At 42.0% G+C, this 20,954-nt stretch overlaps 1 long non-coding RNA gene and 1 pseudogene across 1 annotated transcript, besides 1 other annotated feature; one reads left to right on the plus strand and one right to left on the minus strand.

The window, feature by feature from the left end:
* RNA5SP181 (RNA, 5S ribosomal pseudogene 181) lies at window positions 3,765-3,862 on the plus strand (annotated as a pseudogene).
* On the minus strand, window positions 9,450-20,487 carry LOC124900963 (uncharacterized). Its single transcript, XR_007058735.1, has 2 exons — window positions 20,309-20,487; window positions 9,450-9,889 (listed from the first exon to the last, which is right to left on the minus strand). It is a non-coding gene; the product is annotated as an uncharacterized LOC124900963 (long non-coding RNA).
* Window positions 11,709-12,003: a silencer, noted in NCBI's record as "tiled region #9147; K562 Repressive non-DNase unmatched - State 13:Ctcf". NCBI's record gives its function as "represses a minimal TATA promoter and a strong SV40 promoter by Sharpr-MPRA in K562 cells {active_cell/tissue: K562}" and the evidence as "EXISTENCE:reporter gene assay evidence [ECO:0000049][PMID:27701403]".
* Window positions 20,488-20,954: the final 467 nt, after the last annotated feature.

Here is a 20,954-nt window from a genome sequence, read left to right on the forward strand (position 1 = left end):
CACAAACATGCAGCAGCAGGCTGACAACCTAGGGCTGTTCACAGTGCAAGTCGTGTCTGGATGCTTTCAAATCCATTTGGTGATGGGAATTATCTCCCTTATGTAATGAAGGCCTCATGTTATTTGATTTACAGCTTCTCATACAATGGTAGATTTGTTCCATAATCCCCTGGATTGTAGCTAAACCCCCAAGGACGTATTTATCTACTTTGCTATAGTCAAGGCCCCAGCTCATATGTAACTATAATTTCTTCCATTTGCTCAAGGTGTGTCATCAACTTCCAAGCATTTCAGGAGAACTCCTCTGCGTGGCCTCCCTGAGAGCCAGGTCAAGGGGGCTGTGAAGCTCACACAAGCCTTGTCCCATGAGAGAGAATGCAAACAGCTGAAGTACATTGCACCTGGTCCTTGAATAAACGTACAGTCCAGGAAGTGCCCCACCAGGTCTTGATGGCATATAGTGAAGAGACTGATTACCTCCCAGGAGGTCTGCATAAAGATCCTGAGAGGAACACATGGAGAATTCCAATAGAGTGGAAGCTTCCTGAGGGCAGGAAATGCATCTTCCTGTATCCCAATGCCTAGTCCAGTTCTGAGACTATGATAGGTGCTCAATACATATTTGTCAACTGAGTAAATAGATAAGTGAATGATCAGTCAAACAAAGCATAAGTGATTCAGACTGGAAAGGAAAGGATAGGTAAGAAAACCATGATGTATTTTCCCTTAATCTGAATGAACAAGTGATTTGAGTGGCAAACAGGGAAAATAAAACACGTGGCAGATATCTATATCTACCCATTTTGTTTTGGTGAGTTAAAACTATTTTTAAGTAAATATAATAAATGGAAAAAATGTGGCCTATGTAAGTGAGATACAAAAAAAATGACTAGAAACAAATTGTTCATTTGTGCTAGAAACCAAAGTGTTGCATTACAAACATCCAAGACTGAGGACTATTAATACCCTGTGAGACCACTCTCTGATATTTCTAGTCTAATAGGAGCAATCCTCATTCCTGGTTTTGTCAACCACAATGGTTTTCATTTCACCCCCAGAAGCATCATGAAATTTTGCCCTAACTTCTCAAAACAAACTATTTTAATTCCCCAAATTATTGTAAAAACAAGGTGGTAATGGACAAGATGGAGGTGTTGTGAAATCAAAGAAGCAATTATAATTCTCCAGAAAAGTTCAAAACTCTTCTCTCATCCAAACAGTTGTTTCTGAAAATGCCACACTCCCCAAACTTAGAAATAACCAGCAGACAGGTAAAAATAATCCCTAAGATTTTTTGACTTATTCTTGCAGAACTTCTACTGGGGAGTGAGTCTTCCCTTCTCCAAAGCACAAAAAAGTAAGTCTTGCTAGATGAGGGAAGCCAAGTTTGTTAGGCCTGGCACAAAGCAAACATTTTTGCCTTGCTTGAATTACTTTCAACAATTGAAAACATCACTCTAATAACCAATGCCACAAGAAACTATGCAGTGAACTCAGAGAAAATCAAGGGGGGTGATCTGAACTTCAAACATGGCCTAAGTAGCTGATCAAGAGAGACAATTGCTGGTATTTAAAAGCAGAAAATTAAATAGAGGTCCTGTGTGTCTATTCCATTTTTACCCACCTCTTTAAGTAAACCCTTTTCTGTGATATCAAGAGGATCCATCTGCTAGCTACATCTTCATGAAGCCCTTCCTTCAGTTACTCGCAAAGAATCAGCAGGTCTTGAATCTGACTCTACCAAATACAGACTCTATTATAACCCAATCTCTTTCTGAGCCTCTCCTGAATGGAATACCTATTCCTGGCTTCTGATTATTATTGTGTTGGACTAGTTCAAACTTTGATCCAACTCTCAGGGCTGGAATGATATCCAACCAGTACAGTACAGTGCTTGAAACCATCCACTGTTTTGTCAATGTTGAACATTTGTAAACATTTGTCCAATGCCATGGTCCTAAGTGTCAGTCTGGAAGAGGCCTTGCTTTGTGACTTTCCCCTTTTTTGGAAATTCATTTAATCTTGCTCTGAACGTTATTTATTTCTTCCTGCTTCTCCAGATAAAGCCAAGAAGGCCCCAGTAAGTATCTGCTAGTCATCCAAGAGTAAAACAAGTTGACATCCATTTTGATTTGCATCTCCATTTCCTGGTATTTTTAATCCAAACACCCAGGCTTAAATTCTATGGTAAGCAAAGAAACTCATCATCATTGCTTACTACAAGTTATGGACGCATAAAGAAGTAATTCTTATGCTGAACAGTTAACCATGCAAAACTCTGAGTCTTACTCCCAGAGATGCCAATATAGTAGGTCTGTAGTGAAACAAAAAAGTGACACGTTAACAAGTGCTTCTGATTATTCTGTAATACACAAGTGGACATGGACCACATTTTTGAGAAAAGAGAAGGCCAGAACAGCAAGAGCTGACTGGACATGGAGGCTCACACCTGTAATCCCAGCACTTTGGGAGGCCAAGGTGGGAGAATTGCTTGAGGCCAGAAGTTCAAGACCAGCCTGGGAAACATATTGAGACCCTGTCTCTAATTGTTAATAATAATAAAAAAAAAAAAATAATAATAATAATAATAATAATAATAATAAGAGCTGAAAACAGCTGGAGGGGGAAAAAGGTCCCAGGAAACTTGGTGGAAGCCAAGGTTGCAGGTGGCCTTTGGTGGAGGCCCTTGGTGGGGAGATATCCGAGGTGTGCCATTCCCTCATGAACTGCTACTCACCACTTGACCCCATGCAGAAGGGAAGGGTGAAGAAGCAGTGGTTGTGCCAAACAGCAGGCGTATCCCAGTTTCCCAGACTCTGCCCTCTCTCGCTCATCACCCTAAGGGCTGTTTCATGGCCACCTATGGGCTTGGTCTCACTCCCAGTTGCCATAAGTGGTGACTGGAAGTGGAATGCAGGCAACTTCCACCCGACTCTGGTCACTTGGCATCATCAGTAGAGCTGCCAGTTAGACTCTGACCTCATGCATTAGTTAGGACAGGCATCCTTAATCTTTTTCACTTCACAGCCCTCGAAATACTTTTACAATAATCTCACTCATTTCTAAGTTGATATCTAACATTATATATTATTAGTTTAAATAGTTGCAAAGGATATTGATATTTTTCTGGCATGTTGTATATTTTGGCATTTTAAAATTAAAATGTTATGAGACTCTTTTTTTTTTGAGATGGAATCTTGCTCTGGCACCCAGGCTGAAGTGCAGTGGCGTGATCTCGGCTCACTGCAACCTCCACCTCCCAGATTCAAGCAATTCTCCTGCCTCAGCCTCCCGAGTAGCTGGGATTACAGGCATGTGCCACCATGCCTGGCTAATTTTTTTGTATTTTTAGTAGAGACAGGGTTTCACCATATTGGCCAGGCTGGTCTCAAACTCCTGACCTTGTGATCCACCCACCTCGACCTCCCAAAGTGCTGGGATTACAGGCGTGAGCCACCGCGCCTGGTCTACAGGACTCTTTTAAACGTAGTAAACAGAATCTAAAAATTATGATTTGGCACCCACCATCATTCATTCATCTATTCAAAATGTTCATAAACAAGTCCTTTTTTAGTAGTTAGAAATTTTATAGCAATGCATTTTCCTCTTAAACTTGTATTTCCATCTGACTTCCCCCATATAATTTCATCCAATATAATATTTTTTATTCTTATAGTCTTTTAACTCTTTCATCCCATTTTCTCTTCAAAATATATATGTTTATTTATAGATATAGATAATCATATGTATGGTATGTAAAGATTACCTATAGCCATACCACCCTTAATGAGCCTGATCTCGTCTGATCTCAGAAGCTAAGCAGGTTTGGGCTTGGTTAGCACTTGGATGGGAGATATATATATACATGTGTAAATACATATACATATTCATCTATCTATAGAGATAGATATTCAGATATATAGTCTGACACTTAATTTTTATTTATTTATTAGAGACAGAGTCTTACTCTGTTGCCAAAGCTGGAGTACAGTGGTGTGATCATAGCTCACTGTAACTTTGAATTCCTGGCCTCAAGCAATCCTCCCACCTCAACCTCCCAAGAAGCTAGAACTACAGGCACACACCACCACACCAAGCTAGCTTTTTTAAAAAATATTTTTTGTAGAGACAAGGTCTCACTATGCTGCCCAGGCTGGTTTTGAACTCCTGGCCTTAAGCAATCCTCCTGCCTCGGCCTCCCAAAATGCTGGGATTACAGTCATAAGCTACTGTACCTGGCCTAATTTTTAAAAATTTAATGTTTTTTTAAAATTTCCTATCACTAAAAGAGTTGGAAAATATCTCCTGAGTTTAGTTATCACTATAATTTTGGTAAAATCAACGTAAGTATGTTATAAATAATTAAATATAAAAAAGGAAATTTTATTGGAAATGCATATCTAAATGAATGGGACTGATTTTAATTATTTCTATGAATACATAATACTTAATGTTAGAGTGATTCAGTGTTCAGCATTAATTATACTAATATTTTTCATTTTTACATATGAAAGTCCTGAGAAACCTTATTTATTCAAATACTTATATGAAAATGGAAATAGTTTTATTATAGCAATGTTATTTAATTTTTTGAACTCCTTCTAAGCTAATTTTAATGATTTATCAGCTGACAATTCCTCCTTGAATTTTTATAAAACAAAATATCAGAAATCATATGGGTTGCAAAAGATTTCTTATGCAATTATAGACTCACGTAATTTCTCACACCAACACCAGTATTTCAAATAGTCCTTTGGTGCCTGATATGGTTAGGCTTTGTGTCCCCACCCAAATCTCATCTTGAATTGTAATCCTCATAATCCCTGTAATCCCCATGTGGGAGAGACCAGGTGGAGGTAATTGAATCATGGGGTGAAGTTCCCCCGTGCTGTTCTCATGATAATTAGTGAGTTCTCTTGAGATCTGATGGTTTTATAAGGGGCTTTTCCCCCTGCGCTCAGCATTTCTCCTTCCTGCTGACTTATGAAGAAGGTGCCTTGCTTCCCCTTCGCCTTCCGCCATGATTGTAAGTTTCCTGAGGCCTCCCCAGCCATGCTGAACCGTGAATCAATTAAACCTCTTTCCTTTATAAATTACCCAGTCTCAGGCAGTTCTTAATAGCAGTATGAAAACAGACTAATACAGTGCCCCATAGGTTTTTACATTCTGGAGCATGCTTTCTTGATGGGGACAAAAATTGCTTCTTAAAAGATGAAAAATATCTTACTCCTATATGTATAAAGCACAGATATGCACAGTACATAAATAGATATACAGGGTACAGATGTTCCTCAACTTACAATGGGGTTACATTTTGATAAATCAATAAAAGTTGAACCATGTCAGATGTTCCTTGATTTACAATTAGATTAAGTCCATATAAACCCATCATAAATTGAACTATCATGGGCCAGCGGCATATGTACTGTATTAAAATTTCATAATAGGAATGATTACCAAAAAATGTCCAAAAGGCTCCTTAGAAGGTGATAAGAATTAAGTCTGAGAAACACTGCCTCAAGGGCAAGTCCTCATTTTAAGATTTGGAATGAGTTAGAGTTACACCTTTTCTTTGAAGTGGGAGAAAAAGGGCATTTGTGGAGTGAGAAATGGAAATTGTTTCAACCACAGGCATGTTCTAAGGTAGACTAATTTTAGGAAGGAATCTGTTTAAGATTTGTTCAGTGAATTAGTGTCAGTGAAGTGCATGAAACATAGTTAATTTTTCAATTTCAGTATTGTTATTATTACCATCACAACATTTATCATTATGTGGAAGTTTAAACATCTGGCAATTGATTCCCTTAAAATTATAAGGGTTTTCATATCCAGTGGAGGATATTTATCCCCCAGGGAAACTTATACCTCACTTTCAAGGTCACCAAGTTAGGATAGGATCGGTTGCTTATAAAGGAGACCAAAAGTAACAATGCTTACAGCAGACAAAAGTTTATTTCTCTGTCACATAGAAACTGGAGCTGGCATGGCGGCTCCCCCCCAACTGGTCAGGGCCACATACTCCTTATATCTTGTTGCTTTGCCAGTCCCTAGGATGTTACACTGATCTACATGATCCATGATGGTCCACTGGCATGTCCCCATTCCAGCTGGGGAAAGGAGAGGAAAAGGTAAGGAGGACATAGTCTGTTATAGACCGAACATTTGTGTCCCTCCAAAATTCATGTATTGAAGCCCTAACCCCCAAGGTGATAGTATTTGGAGTTGGGGCCTTTGGGAGGTAATTATGTTTAGATGAGGTCCTGAGGGTAGGAGTCTCATGATGGGATTAGTGCTCTGATAAGAAGAGACTAGAGAGCTTGCTCTCTCTCTACCAAGTGAACACACAGCAAGAAGGCAGCAGTGTGCAAGCCAGGAGAAGGCCTCTACCAGAACCCCACCAAGCCAGCACCTTGCTCTTAGACTCCCCAGGCTCCAGAACTGTAAGAAATAAATTCCTGTTGTTTATAAGCCTCTCAGTCTATTGTATTTTGTTGTGGTAGTCTGAGCCGACTAATACCCGCCCCTTCCAGAAAGGTGCACATGTCATGCCTACATTCTCATACCATAGGCCGGAACTCAGTCAGGTGGCCAAATATTGCTGCAAGGAAGGCTGGGAAATGAAGTGTTTAGCTGAGTGGCCCTGCACTTGGCTAGGTATCCTATGCCATTTGAAAAGGGGAGAGGGATACTGAAGGAGATCTAGGAGTCTCTCTCACACCCGACCTATATGATTCCTGGAGTTGTGGTGGGAATCCTGGTATCTTTCTTAGTTTCTGGTCCTTAATCGCTGCTCTGATAGCCTGCTCTGTATACCAGTTTCTTCAAGACTGGGGTCCTGCCTTGTTCATACATATCCCTCGCCCAGGGACTGGAGTCCAGTGGACAGAACACACTGTCTGCTTGCATTTTTCTTCCTTTCTTTCTTTCTTCCTTCTTTCCTTCCTTCTTTCCTTTCTCTTTCTCTCTTCCTTCCTTCCTTCCTTCCTTCCTTCCTTCCTTTCTTTCTTTCTTTCTTTCTTTCTTTCTTTCTTTCTTTCTTTTTCTTTCTTTCTTTCTTTCTCTCTCTCTCTCTCTCTCTCTTTCTTTCTTTCTTTCTTTCTTTCTTTCTTTCTTTCTTTCTTTTTTTTTCACTCTTGTTGCCCAGGCAGTGCAATGGCACGATCTCGGCTCTCTGCAACTTCCGCCTCCTGGGTTCAAGCGATTCTCCTTCCTCAGCCTCCAGGGTAGCTGGTATTACAGGTGTGCGCCAACACGCCCAGCTAATGTTTGTATTTTTAGTAGAGATGGGGTTTCACCATGGTGGCCGGACTGGTCTCGAACTCCTGACCTCAGGTGATCCACCCACCTTGGCCTCCCAAAGTGCTGGGATTACAGGCATAAGCCACCGCACCTGGCTGGTCTGCCTGCATTTCTGAACATCACTATCTTGAATTTTCCCATTGCTCTGCATATCTAATATTTTCTCTTGGACCCAAGACACAGCAGAGAAGTGGAATAAATTCACTTCTCTAGTGGGACTAAAAATCAGTCAACGGCTGATTCAGGGGAGAAGAAAGAAACCAAATCATCAACTGAACTGCTCTGGTTGAAACAGATGGGGACCCTCCGTTGGCTTCTCCAACCCCTTCCCCACTTGACAAATCTCCAGTGTGGTTGGGGTTGGGCCTGGCCATAATGTGCAGTCTTGTCAAAGTGAGGTCTCCAAAGAATTTTGACTATAGTTAGTCACAAGAGAGTTTCTTTTACTTTTGTTTGATGTGGGGTAGCCCATAACCTCCTCTTATGCTCTGCCTTAGGAAATAATCAAGAATCAGCCACACAAATAAATTGGGAGGTACTGATCTACTGCTCTCCTAATATCTTAGGCCAGGTAGGAAAGAGGGGAATAGAATTCACATGAATCTCAAGAGTGTATTGGCTGGGCACAGTGGCTCATGCCTGTAATCCTAACACTTTGGGAGGCCAAGGCAAGAGAATCACTTGAGTCTAGGAGTTCGAGCAATATGGTGAGAATTCATCACTACAAAAAAAAAAATTTAAAAATTAGCCTAGCCTGTGTAGTCCTAGCGACTCGGGAGGCTGAAGTGGGAGGATGGTTTGACTCAGGGAAGCAGAGGTTGCAGTAAGCCATGATCGTGCCGCTGCACTCCAGCCTGGGCAACAAGCAAGACCCTGTCTACAAAAAAAAAAAAAAAAAAAAAAAAAAAAAAGAAGTGTGTTATGCAGAGGCTGCAAAAGAAACTGCAAACCAGCACATAAAGCTGTAACTGCCTTTGAAGTCTAGAAGGTTACAGATGAGCCCTAAGATGAGCTGTGTCACATATCATTTGATGAAAAACCTGTGACGGCACACATTATTGCTCTTGCCAGTTAGAAAGAGAATCTGATTCTTATGGCAACATTTGTATCTAATTAAAAGTAATTAATGATTAGGCTGAAGGGATAGTTTAAAGTCAATTGATAGTGAGGGCAAAAAGTATCAATGTATGGGTTAGATTATGCTATAATAATAAGCAAACCTAAAATCTCAAAAGAAAAAAACAGGCATATCTCTGAACAGCCCTAATCACGGCCAAAGAAAAGTTTAGGAGACTTGCTTGCTTCTTCGATTCCTTGTGTTTGAAACAATATAATGCCAATATCAAAACAAAAATTTCTGTGCTAAATATCTGGGGAAGGATACAGAGTGGATGAGGGAAGGTTCCCCTTCAACACAGAAGGTGTTCCTGATAACGATGGTATGAGGGCTCTGGCCCAGCCAGAAGCTTCCATCTCCTAAGAGCCAAACCCAGACAGAGCCTGGATGTCTGTAGAAGGAGGGGCAGCATCCCGGGAGTGAGGGAATGGTGCGTTCTCTTTCGATGTTGAGAGTTCTACCTAACTAAGCCCGATTAATAAATGACTAATGTACTTACTTAGTCAGTTGTTCAAAAATATCTTTTGAATGACTCCAATGTGGTAAGCACTGTAATAGTGTGACAGAAATAGAACTAGGAGGCCAGGTGCGGTGGCTCATGCCTGTAATCCCAGCACTTTGGGAGGCCGAGGCGGGCAGATCCCCTGAGATCAGGAGATCGAGACCAGCCTGGCCAACATGGTGAAACCCCTTCTCTACAAAAATACAAAATTAACTGGGCATGGTGGCGCATGCCTGTAATCCTAGCCACTCCGCAGGGCTGAGGCTGGAGAATTGCTTGAATTCAGGAGGCAGCGGTTGCAGTGAGCCGAGATCACTCCATTGCACTCCAGCCTGGGTGACAAGAGCAAGACTCCATTTCAAAAAAAAAAAAAAAGAAGGAGAAAGAGAAGAAGAAGAAGAAATAGAACTAGGAATTACAACAGATGGGTTATTCTGATTCTGGAAGAAGAGGGCCACAGGACACCTACTAGTTATGGGATGATCCAGTGCCCAGGAAGCACTTGACACAAAGTAGATGCTCACTAAGTACTTGCTATTGATGATGGTGGTTTAATGGTTGCTTTCTCTAACTCGGTGGTTTTCTTTTATTTCACTTCCATGTCGATGGACAAAGGCAGAGCTCTCATGCTATTGCATGGCGACACCTGGGCTCACTGCTGAAGCATTGTCTCCATCGTGGGTATCTCCAAAAGTGACAGGCCCTCTACTTTCTGTTTTCTTCCAGGGAGGCGGGTTAGCCTGCAGGCCTTTGGGATGCTGGGTCATAGACTAGATGTGTATTTCTCCCTCCATGATATTGGCAGATCTCCTACCCTTGGTGTAGCTGGGCTCATTCCAAGTGCTTTTGGGGGTGCTCTTGGCCAGGCTGGCAGACTCCCTGTACAGAACGTGCCTTGTACATTATCCTCTGGGGGCTGCTGCCGATGAGTTCTCTGCCAGCAGCATCCTCTTCACTCCTTCCATGCATAGCTGTAATTTTTAAATTTTTTAAAGAAACATTTATTCAGGTATAACGTACTTACAGATATAATAAAATACTGAGATCATAATTGCCCTTCTAATTATGTTTGGTAGATTTTTCCAGTTTGTCTTCCATGTGTAACTTTTTTTAAACATAAATTACTCAAGAAATATTTCTATTTTGTGCTTTTTTTTCATTTAACAAATATTTCACGTTTCTACATAGGCTGTAATGAGAATTTTAGTGACTATATTCTGTTGTGTTTGTGCCTCCAAAAAATTCTTAAACCACTCTTTTAAAGTTTTTTTCAAGGATAAGAAAAAAGTTTAGTTGGATTTTTCAAATAACTTGCTCTCAACTCCTGATTTCTTTCTTGCATGAAAAAAAAAAAAAAGCCATGACTGCTACCAGGTCTCGTTGACTCTAAAATGTCACCCATTGTAAGACACACCCCATTTTATGTTCCTGAGAAAGAACGCAGCTCTTTAATAATGACTGCAACTTGCGCAAATGTCTCCAGAGTGAAATATGCTTTTCGAGTATTACAGAGCTGTCTGCAAACTTTGGAACTCAGCACCATGAGCATGTGGTGCTCTCTCTGCCCTTGCAGGCCCAGCCATCAGCCTCTTGCCCTGGCACACGTTCAGCAAGATCTCAGGGAGCGGAATTAGCAAACAGGAAAACTAGCCCGGCAGTGGTGGCTCCTGCTAATCCCAGTCTGTCACACTAGCCCATGTAACTGCTAAAAGATTGACTAGCTTTTCCTCACCCAGCAGGGCCCCTCTTTGTGTGACAGCCCTCTTTTCCTCCTGCCACACACCCAGACTTTCCAAATGTCCCTAGAAGCCCTCCATTTCTTCATTCCATGGAAATTCATCTCTCTATAGAATTGGGTTCCTTTGGACATGTTTGTGTCTCCAGCTCTCCAGTGCCTTTTTTTAAATATGTTTTTTGTTGTTGTTGTTGCTGTTGCTGTTGTTTTTGTTTTTTTGAGATGGAGTCTCACTCTTTTGCCCAGGCTGGAGTGCAGTGGCACAATCTCGGCTCACTGCAACCTCCACCTTCCAGGTTCAAGTGATTCTCCTGCCTCAGCCTCCCAAGCAGCTGGGATTACAGGTGTGTGCCACCACGCCCAGCTAATTTTTGTATTTTTAATAGGGACAGCATTTCACCATGTTGACCAGGCTGGTCTCGAACTCCTGACCTCATGATCCACTTGCCTTAGCACAAAGTGCTGGGATTACAGGCGTGAGCCACTGCACCCAGCCTATATGATTTTTTTTAAAGCTTATTCATTTTTATCTCCATGTCACTGTGGGAGCAATGGTCTGTCCCAATCATCTACATCCTAATGGGAAGGTGTCACTGTAGTAGATTTTGTCTTACATGGTTGGGCTTATACAATGGCAATGACAGTGATAGTTATGCCAAATCCTCTAATGATTTTGTTTGGGTGTCATTTGGAATTTTCTTTCTCTCAGGTGCTTTAGTTAAAAATCCAAACTCCCTGGAAATGACTGTACAATGCAGAAGGTGCAGACTGGTGGATACTATCTGCAGATATCTTTTCTTTGACCTGTACTCTGTGTGTATGGGCTTAACTCGAATTTTTGCCAGTATTTAAAAACTGGAAGCTTTCACATTTTAAAATTTCTACATTTTCATTTATGGAGAGTGACCTCTGGTGGCCCAGGTCTTGGGTTCCTGCACAGCCATGATGGTCTGGAGCAGAGAAGTGGCCAACCTCTTCCAACAGGACAGCCCTCTCATTACCTGCCTGTAGGCATACAAGGTTGCATCTCTTTGTCTGATGGATGGGTCATAGGTGACATTAGGGAAGGCTTCACAAGGGCATCTTATTGCACTTAGAATAAATCCAAGTCCATACCATAACCTAAAAGACCCAACACGCTCTGGCCCCTGGCTCCCTCTCTGACTCATTTCTTCCCATTCTCCCCCTGACTCACTCTGCTGCCTGCTTACTGTCCCTCAAGCAAGCCAAACATACCCAGCTTCAGGCCTGGGCTATTTCCTCTGCCTATTGATTTTCCCCCAAATAGTTATATGACTCAGGGCCTAACTTCATCCATGTCTCAACTCCAATACCACCCCACAGAGAGGATTTTCCTGGCCATTCTATCTGGAACAGCACCACTCAGCAGCTATACCCTTCCTCTTTATTTTTGTAGCACTTACCTCTACATGAGGGCAAAGACTCTTCTTGGGTTTTTGTTTTTGTTTTTTTGGTGGGGCTGGGAGGAAAGTGTTTTCTGTTTTTTGTTTTTGTTTTTGTGTGCTAATGTACTCATAGTTGTACCAGTGCCCAGTGCCTGGTACACAAATATTGTCAAATAAGTGGATGAATGAACACTGTCTTTTGACTCAAGGCATTGGTTCTGTAGTTTTCAGACCAACAGGGAAATGGAGCTTCATCAACTCTGACATCATTTCCAACTCTAAATTTTGTCCTTCTCACCATAAACCTCATAATGAGTTACAGTTTTCAAGCTAGCCACTTGTCCTCTTAGGGAATACCAAAAATGCCCATTTTACAGACAGAAGCAGAAAGGAAAGCCAATCACTTGATGCCAACTGACAAAGACTGGCAGCTTCACATGCATGGGGAAGAGAACAAAGCCAACATGTCCCCAGAATGGTAAGACAAAGGTAGAATGGTGAAATGGAAGATGAGCATCGTGGTCAAGGTGAGGAAAGAGGAACTGCCACTCTTCCTGTTAGTCTGTGGGGGAGTGTATCAGGTGAGTTGGATATGAGATGTGTGACCTCACTGGAGAATGCCTAGGGGCCTAGGCTGCAGAGCTGATCAGGCTACTAGACCCTCTGTAGGTCCAGGCATGCCTGCTGAATGAAGAAATGGAGAAATGAACAAAGGAGGGCATTAACTCCAGCAGAGAGTCAATACCATGAGCCAGTGCTGACTTGTTTGAGCCATAGGTTCAGATCTGCACTGTCCAATGTGGTAGCCACTAGCTATGTGTAGCTACTTAAACTAAATTAAATAAATGAAATTTAAAATTCATTTCCTTTGTTGCACTATATTTCAAGTGCTCAATAGCTACATTGGGCTACTGTCTACCCAGTGGTACAGATTACAGAACATTTTGCACAAATTCTTTTGGCCAGTTCTGATTAGATACAGCTACGCACCTGGCTTTCCAGTGTCCAGCCCTATATCCCAGTTGCTTTTAACTCAGATTCCACCATTCTCTCTTTCTTGCTATAGGATGAGAACCTGGCTGTTTAAAAACATGGAATCAGTGGAGTCCTGAATAGCAGCACATGACTTGCAACAACTTTCAACATCTCATAAAATGGCTGCTCAGCATTCACTTTCCATCTCAGAGTCACTTCTTTGGAACTGCTAGGGAGTCCAGGGTACATTTGAGTCCTGGCAGCTCATGTCCTGCTCTGTGGCAGCTCTTCCCACTGCTCATAGGAGTCCCATACCCACTTCTCAACCATGTCCGGCTGAGCATTACAAATCACCTTCTGTTTAAAATAAAATAAAATAAAAATCTGACTCACTGGAGTTACTCCAGTTCACTTTCTTGTTTGGAATTCCACACTTCTTTTGATGTTTATCAATACATCACTACCCAGCATGCTTGCCAAGATCATGTCTAGGCTGTGGTGATCTATCATCACCCCACAGCATATTCTAAGATGCATCCCACCCCCTTTAAGGGTCCGACAGGTCCAGGAGCAGCACAACGTGGCAAGATGCCAGGGAAAAAGGACTCAGCTCTCATGGAGACATCTTATTCACCAGCCCAGGGCTGCCTTTGAGAGCAGTGTGTACTAGGGAAGGATTCCAAGGAGGTGTGTGACTTTGGAATAATTACAGAGGTCGGCAAAGCAAGTTAGGAAAGCCTGGAAATCGTAATTACGGCCAACCATAGACAAGGTGCTGAAGTTGAGAAGTTTGTCTCAGGCTTCCCTCCAAACTCCCCTGGGAATCTTTTTCTCTGATGTGTCTCCTTTGTCCCTGTCTCTCTAGCTTGTCCAGAACTCTCTATCTTGGCTTCTTACTCCTCAGGGAAGCTTCTATTTGGCTCTTTTTCTCCCATGGAAACTTGGTTTCATTCCCATTAGGCTCTGCTAGTTAAGACCAGCCAGTTAATGGGACAAGCTAATTTACTTAAAAGCATGAGTCCTTCACCTGGTCCAAACGTGGGCTTAGAGGGAGGTGAAGATCCTAAGGCATTACAATTTTGTGTGCCCATTTTCTAGGGGAAAGAGTCATAGATTTCATCAGATTCTAAACTAAACACATTCTAAACCCTTGACCCCCCAAAAAAGTTCAAGTCACTGTGGGCTAATACTGAGAGCTAGTAACAGCAGGGGGGTTTCTTCTGATGTGATGTTTGCATTTTAACCACAGCGCAATGGAGAAACTACCATCTGTTACATATTTTTGCCTCAGGAAAAAATAATGGGAGAGTTTTCAGTCCAGAGGCAAGAAAGATAGGAAAGACTGGGGCAGGAAACAGGGCTTCTTGTTTGCTTTTGAGATCATGTCCAAACACCCCCATTTAGGAGCAAGGGCATCTTCATCTTCTCTTCTTAGTAGCATGTGTTTCTCTTTGAACACAAAACCTTTCCACTCACGTAAAATGTAGGCTTTCTTTAGAAATTTCAAAGAAACAAATCAGGCTTAGGATGCCATTTATGTTCTTCGTTACAGATCATTTCTGCAACGGAGTGGCAGCAGGGCATGACGAGGGAACAGGAGACAAGGTTTTAGTTCCAGCTCTCCCGCTAATTTGCAGAGCATCTTTCCAAGCTTGGCTCAGCCTCTCTGGGCCTCAGTTTCCTCATCTCTAAAAAATCTGGGCAGTCCTCACCAGTCCTATGATTCTAAGACACTGCCAAAAGTCTATGTGAAATAAAATTTCTCTACTGCCCTTTTATTGGTACTGAGGTTGTTTTCATATTCGAGGAGAAAAAATATCCAACCAAACACTAAGTTGTTTTCTTTCCTTTTAATATGTTAGCATCTTGTCCAAAGGAGCAAAACCTGCTCTTAAAAGCTTCAAAACAGTTTGTGGTGGATTGCAATTCTTGTCTCAGAAAGATTAATTGGAAACGAAATCTAAGGAAGAAAATTCAAAGCCCATTTCAACGCTTCCTGCCTTTTAGATCTTCTAACATGTAAATTGACCGTTACAAAGAGGATTAGTTATTAGAATGGTCTGCGTGAAGACCAACATTCAGCTCCCTGTTTATTCCTAGCCAGAGCATCCTGGGTGACCAGCATCTTAATGGCCTTCTTTTCAGTTTGTGAGAGGATGAACTGCATACTAACTCCAGATCCTGTGTTCCCCAACTTTAATCTAACCACAACCTTAACAAACTGGAGACTCTTCCCCACCACCAAATTGTGCTTTCAATTAGAACAAACCTGGTGCTCCAGACATCCACACTAGGAAGCCACAATTATCCTTAAAGACTTAAAGCTACTTTTAATCTCTGGATTTTTGTTGGTCTCTTCCATACTCATTTCTGCTATAATCCTTATCTGCTTCATCTTTTTATTCTTAAGTCCTGAGTGGTGGTGGTGTTTTTCCCTCAAAAAATTCCCTGTAAGACTGCACTTTCTAATGGCTTTGTTCTCCCCATCACTGCTCTTACACCTCCTCTTTTCTTCTAATACAAAGACCTTCTTACCTAGCAACCTCAACTATTCTTACATTATTGAGAATCAGGAAACGAGCAAGGAGCTGGATCAAATAGCCAACATGGATTAATCACAAGATTTGTGATAAGTTAGCCTTCACTCAAACCAGTTTGCTTTTGCATTGCACATAATTCTATCTACAAAAAAAAGCAAGTGTCAAATGTATATGTGGGTGGAAAAGGGGAAGGGCCAGGCAGGGATGGAAGGAGAGAGGGCTCTGAGGGCTAGATGCCAGCAAAGCAAGATGCCAATGGGCAGCCTGGCAGTGATAAAGGAAATAAAAGGCAATAAAGAAAGGGTAACAGGGAAATCAAAGAACCTTTGCATTCTGGAATACTTAACGGTGAGATACATAGACCCATTAACTGCAGTGGTAAGTAATCTGGATTATAGCGTATCTAGAATGGGCTTACAATGAATTATCGATTTAGCTTGGCAACAGGACAAAGGTGATCAGCTGATGGAGAGGAACTATTTCACCTAAGCTCCCAATAGTCACTATTCCTTTTTTATTTTAATAATAGTTGAGCACATAACTGTTCAGAATAAAGTCTATATATTTGTCCCTTGGTATTGGTGAAGAATTAGTTCCTGGATCTCTCTCAGATACTAAAGTCCATGGATACTGAAGTCCTTTATATAAAATGACATAGTATTTGCATATAACCTACACATCTCCTCCCATACACCTTAAATCGTCTCTAGACTACTGATAATATCTAATACTATGTAAATGCTATGTAAATCATTACACTGTATTGTTTAGGGAATAACAACAAGGAAAGTGACTGTACATGTTCAGCATGGATGCAATTTTTGCTGAACACTTTTGATCTTCAGTTGGGTGGATCCACGGATGCAGAACCCACAGATACATAGGGCCAGATGTGTTTCCCATCCTCCCTTGCAGCTGGGTACGGCCAGTGGAATGCGATTGCAGGTCATGTGGACAGCTTTCAAGTCATGCTTTTCTTTAAGGGAACCCTCAGCCTTTCCAGTCTCCTCACCTGCTGGCTGGGATGTGCACATGGTGATGGAGCGGGGACAACCAGCCACACATTGAGGGTGACAGACCAACAAGAAAGAGCCTGGGTTGCTGCCACAGTGGAGCACCATGTCACCTTATACTGCTTATGCTTGATCTATTCCTTGATAAGAATATAACCTTATCTTGTTTAAGCCACTAATATTTTTGTTTTTAACAACAGAACCTACATCCTAACTAATAAACTAGTGAAATTTTATTACTTCTAAGTAGGAATGTGACTTGAAATATCCCAATGATTATGCCTCAAACTCCACTTTCTCTCTGTCCTGTGGCAATGGCTTCATGAAGAAATGAAAAAAGTAGAATTTGGAGTCAAACCTTGGCTCCACTCCTGCCTAATTTTTCTTCACCCATAAATGCACATCATGAGAGTTAGTATTTATTAGATGCTTCTGTGCACCATCTCATTTAACTCAAAACTACCCTATGCAGTAGGTATTATTATTACCCTATGCAGTAGGTATTATTGTTCCAGTCTTGGATGGAGTTAAAGATGGAGTTAAGCATCTTTCCTGAGATTTTTTCAGCTACTGAGAGGCAAAGCTGGGATTTGGAGTGAGAGAGCTGGACTTGTGAATCCACAGCTTTTAACAATTTCCCTTTGCACTTAACTTTCTGCATTGGTGGGAGATCAAGGTTAAGTACAAAACCCAGAACACAGTCATTTCTTCACAAACTGGGGAAATTACTGGATGATGCTAACCAGATTCTGACAGACTCTGTCTCTTCGAGTGTAGGGACCGCATTACCTGCTGACCACCTTAGCTCCAATGCAACATTCTTCCCAGGAGGTGAAAGGACCTAAAAGTCTTTAATTGCTTACTTAACCAGGGAAGTTTTCTTTCTCCTCCTGTTATGAATTGATTTTTTAGTCAAAATCTCAGAGTCCTATGTCTTTCCAACGCTACATCCTATAGTGATAATTCTGAATCATTAAAAAAAGTTTAGATTCTGCCTAAAATGTTCCAGAAGGCAGGAAATATACCCCAATAGTAAACCCACATACTGAGAGAGGACTCCCCTACAGATGAGGAAGACAGACAAACTCCAGCCCTCTGGTCTTTCCTTTCTCACACAGGAGGGAGAAAGAATAAATAAATACTTCTTGGTGCCAAAAAGGAGGCTCTGGAACTTAAGGCTTGTCGGTGCTCACAAAAGGGAAAAAAGAAGAAATGCAAGTGTGAGAAGAAGGAAGAGAAAGAGGAAAAGAAAGGAGGAAGAAAAACATGTGATCCATGCAGATTTCTCCTAAAATGGATAAAGGGGAAAATGAGGGTGCTTTAAAAGGTAGGTTCTATTTTCTGTCTAAGACTCATTCTGCTCCCATCCCCCACTGCATCGGTGTGTTGAGGGGGCGGTAGGCAGGTGGGATACTGCACATGTGGAAGCCCCCTGAAAATTGCCAAGGCCCCCAGGACTGTGATCCTTCTCTATCCGGCCTAGACAGGAAACATTTCTATCTCACAGTGCTAGAAAAATGCATTATCCCCATGTATTAATCTGTTCTCATGCTGATAATAAAGACACATCTGAAGCTGGGTAATTTACAAAAAAAAGAGCTTTAATGGATTCACCGTTCCACATGCCTGGGGAGGCCTTACAATCATGGCAGAAGGCAAAGGAGGAGCAAAGGCATATCTTACAAGGTGGCAGGCAAGAGTGTATGCGGGGGAACTCCCCTCTATAAAACCATGACACATGAGGACTATGGGAGCTACAATTCAAGATGAGATTTGGGTGGGGACACAGCCAAACCATATCACCCCATTTCACATGTAAGGAAATAGAATCTTGATGATGACAACCAACTTGTCCATGATCATACTGGTATTAAATTGAATGATGGAGCTGACTTTTTATCCTTTTTTGAGACAGAGTCTCACTCTGTGGCCCAGGCTGGAGTTCAGTGGCATGATCTTGGCTCACTGCAGCCTCAACTTCCCGGGCTCAAGTGACCCTTTCACCTCAGCCTCTCAAGTAACTGGGACTACAGGCGCACACCACCATGCGCAGCTAATGTTTTTGTTTTTTGTAGAGGCAGGGTTTCCCTATGTTACCCATGCTAATCTCAAACTCCTGAGCTCAAGTAATCTGTCCACTTTGGCCTCCCAAAGTGCTGGGATTCCAGGTGTGAGCCACCATGCCCAGCAGACCTGGGATTTTTTTTTTTTTTTTTTTTGAGACGGAGTTTCGCTCTTGTTGCCTGGGCTGGAGTGCAATGGCGCAATCTCGGCTCACCGCAACCTCCGCCTCCCAGGTTCAAGCAATTCTCCTGCCTCAGCCTCCTGAGTAGCTGGGATTACAGGCATGCATACCATGCCCAGCTAATTTGGTATTTTTAGTAGAGACGGGGTTTCTCCATGTTGGTCAGGTTGGTCTCAAACTCCCGACCTCAGGTGATCCACCTGCCTCGCCCTCCCAAAGTGCTGGGATTACAGGCGTGAGCCACTGCACCCAGCCAGACCTGGGATTTTTAAACTCAAGACTGCCAGTTGTCCACATCCACTGAAAAATAGGATTCATTTTATATATAGCACCAATATTCTCTTTGGATTACTTCTTTTACTAACTAGCTATTATTCAAGTGTCTTTCTTTTTTTTTGTTCCACATTTACTAAGTACCAACTATGTCCAGTGGTTAAGATATAGACATGACTCCTCCTGTCATTAGATTTACAGACTGATGGAGAAGGCAAAGATGAACCAAATAAGGGCAATAAAGTGGTAAAGTGGTCCGGGTGCGGTGGTTCATGCCTGTAATCTCAGCACTTTGGGAGGCTGAGGTGGGTGGATCACTTGAGGCCAGTAGTTCAAGACCAGCCTGGCCAACATGGAGAACCCCTGTCTCTACTAAAAATACAAAAAAAAATTAGCCAGGCATGCTAATTTACACGCACCTGTAATCCCAGCTACTCGGGAGGCTGAGACACAAGAATTGCTTGAACCTGGGCGGTGGAAGTTGCAGTGAACTGAGATCACACCACTGGCATTCCAGCCTGGGTGACAGAGCGAGGCTCTGTCTAAAAATAAATAAATAAATAAAGTGGTAAAGTGTTACAAGTACTATGACAAAAGTATTTGCTTTAATAGGGATGTGTCAAGCCACCTCAAAATCATTTCATTTTTAGAAATAAGTAGAAAAGACATTAGCTCATATATTTTGTCACTTTGTAAATATAAGATTGCCTATCGAGTTCAGTTGAGGTAGAAATAACTACGTCTGCAAAAAGCTCATGATCATTCTCACTTATAAGTGGGAGCTAAACGATGAGAACTCATAAACACAAAGAAGGAAACAACAGGCACTGAGGTCTACTTGAGGGTGGAGGGTGGGAGGAGGGAGAGGAGCAGAAAAGATAGCTATTGGGTACTGGGCTTAATACCTCAGTGATGAAATAATCTGTACAACAAACCCTCATGACACAAGTTCACCTATGTAACAAACCTTCACCTATGTAACAAACCTAAAGGGGTACCTTTAGGTTTAGGTACCCCTGAGCCTAAAATAAAAGTTTAAAAAAAAAGAAAAGCTCATGATTGCCAAGCAGTCACTCAGGATGTGGGTTCCATCTCTTCATGAATAATAGGAATGCTGTGCTTTTAAGGATCACCCCCTGCCCCCTCAAAGAAAAGATCAGAATAAAAGAGAGGAGGTAGCGTAGAGGAAATAATAGCGATCACCTGTTCCCATGACCGGCCAGCTGATTGGGTTAAGCCATTGCTTCTCTGTCCGTTTCAGCTTCCTCATCGTGAACTCACAAGGTCCCCCTGGCTGATATCTGAGGCCCCCTCTGGCCCTCACAATGATCTAGTTGTAAGTAATGAGGTGAAGTCAAGTCAGCTATGAGGTCAACCTCATGGGAGGCAGCTTGGTTCTCCAGTATTCCTAACAGTTCTATAAGCTCCCAATATTCTTCCAGAAAATTTGCTTTTGCTCTTTTTAGCTAGAGCTGGTTGCTGATGCTTTCAACCGAAAACTCAGGGAACTCCAGATCACTAGGCAGTGGGTAGAGTCAGGGTGCCAAGGTCAATTATGTTTGTGGAACTCAAGGCTAAACAAAGCTACACCATATTCTTTACTGCAGGCTTTTTCAGACTCTTTTTCATGGCCATGTCTTTGTGACTTTCCAAATGAGAATATCATATTTGGAGTTTCCTAAGCCATCTCTATCACAGATCCTTTTGGTTGTTGTTTTATTAAAGCGATTTGGAGGACCTGTAGCCTGGGCTTCCTGGCTTCTGAGATGTTTCACTTTTGTCTTTAAGTGTTATATGTGTGCAAACTCTGACCTACCAGCCAATTTTAGGATCTTACATGAAGAAACCT

This window comes from Homo sapiens, chromosome 5 (assembly GCF_000001405.40).
Source record: "Homo sapiens chromosome 5, GRCh38.p14 Primary Assembly".
Classification (NCBI taxonomy): Eukaryota; Metazoa; Chordata; class Mammalia; order Primates; family Hominidae; genus Homo; species Homo sapiens.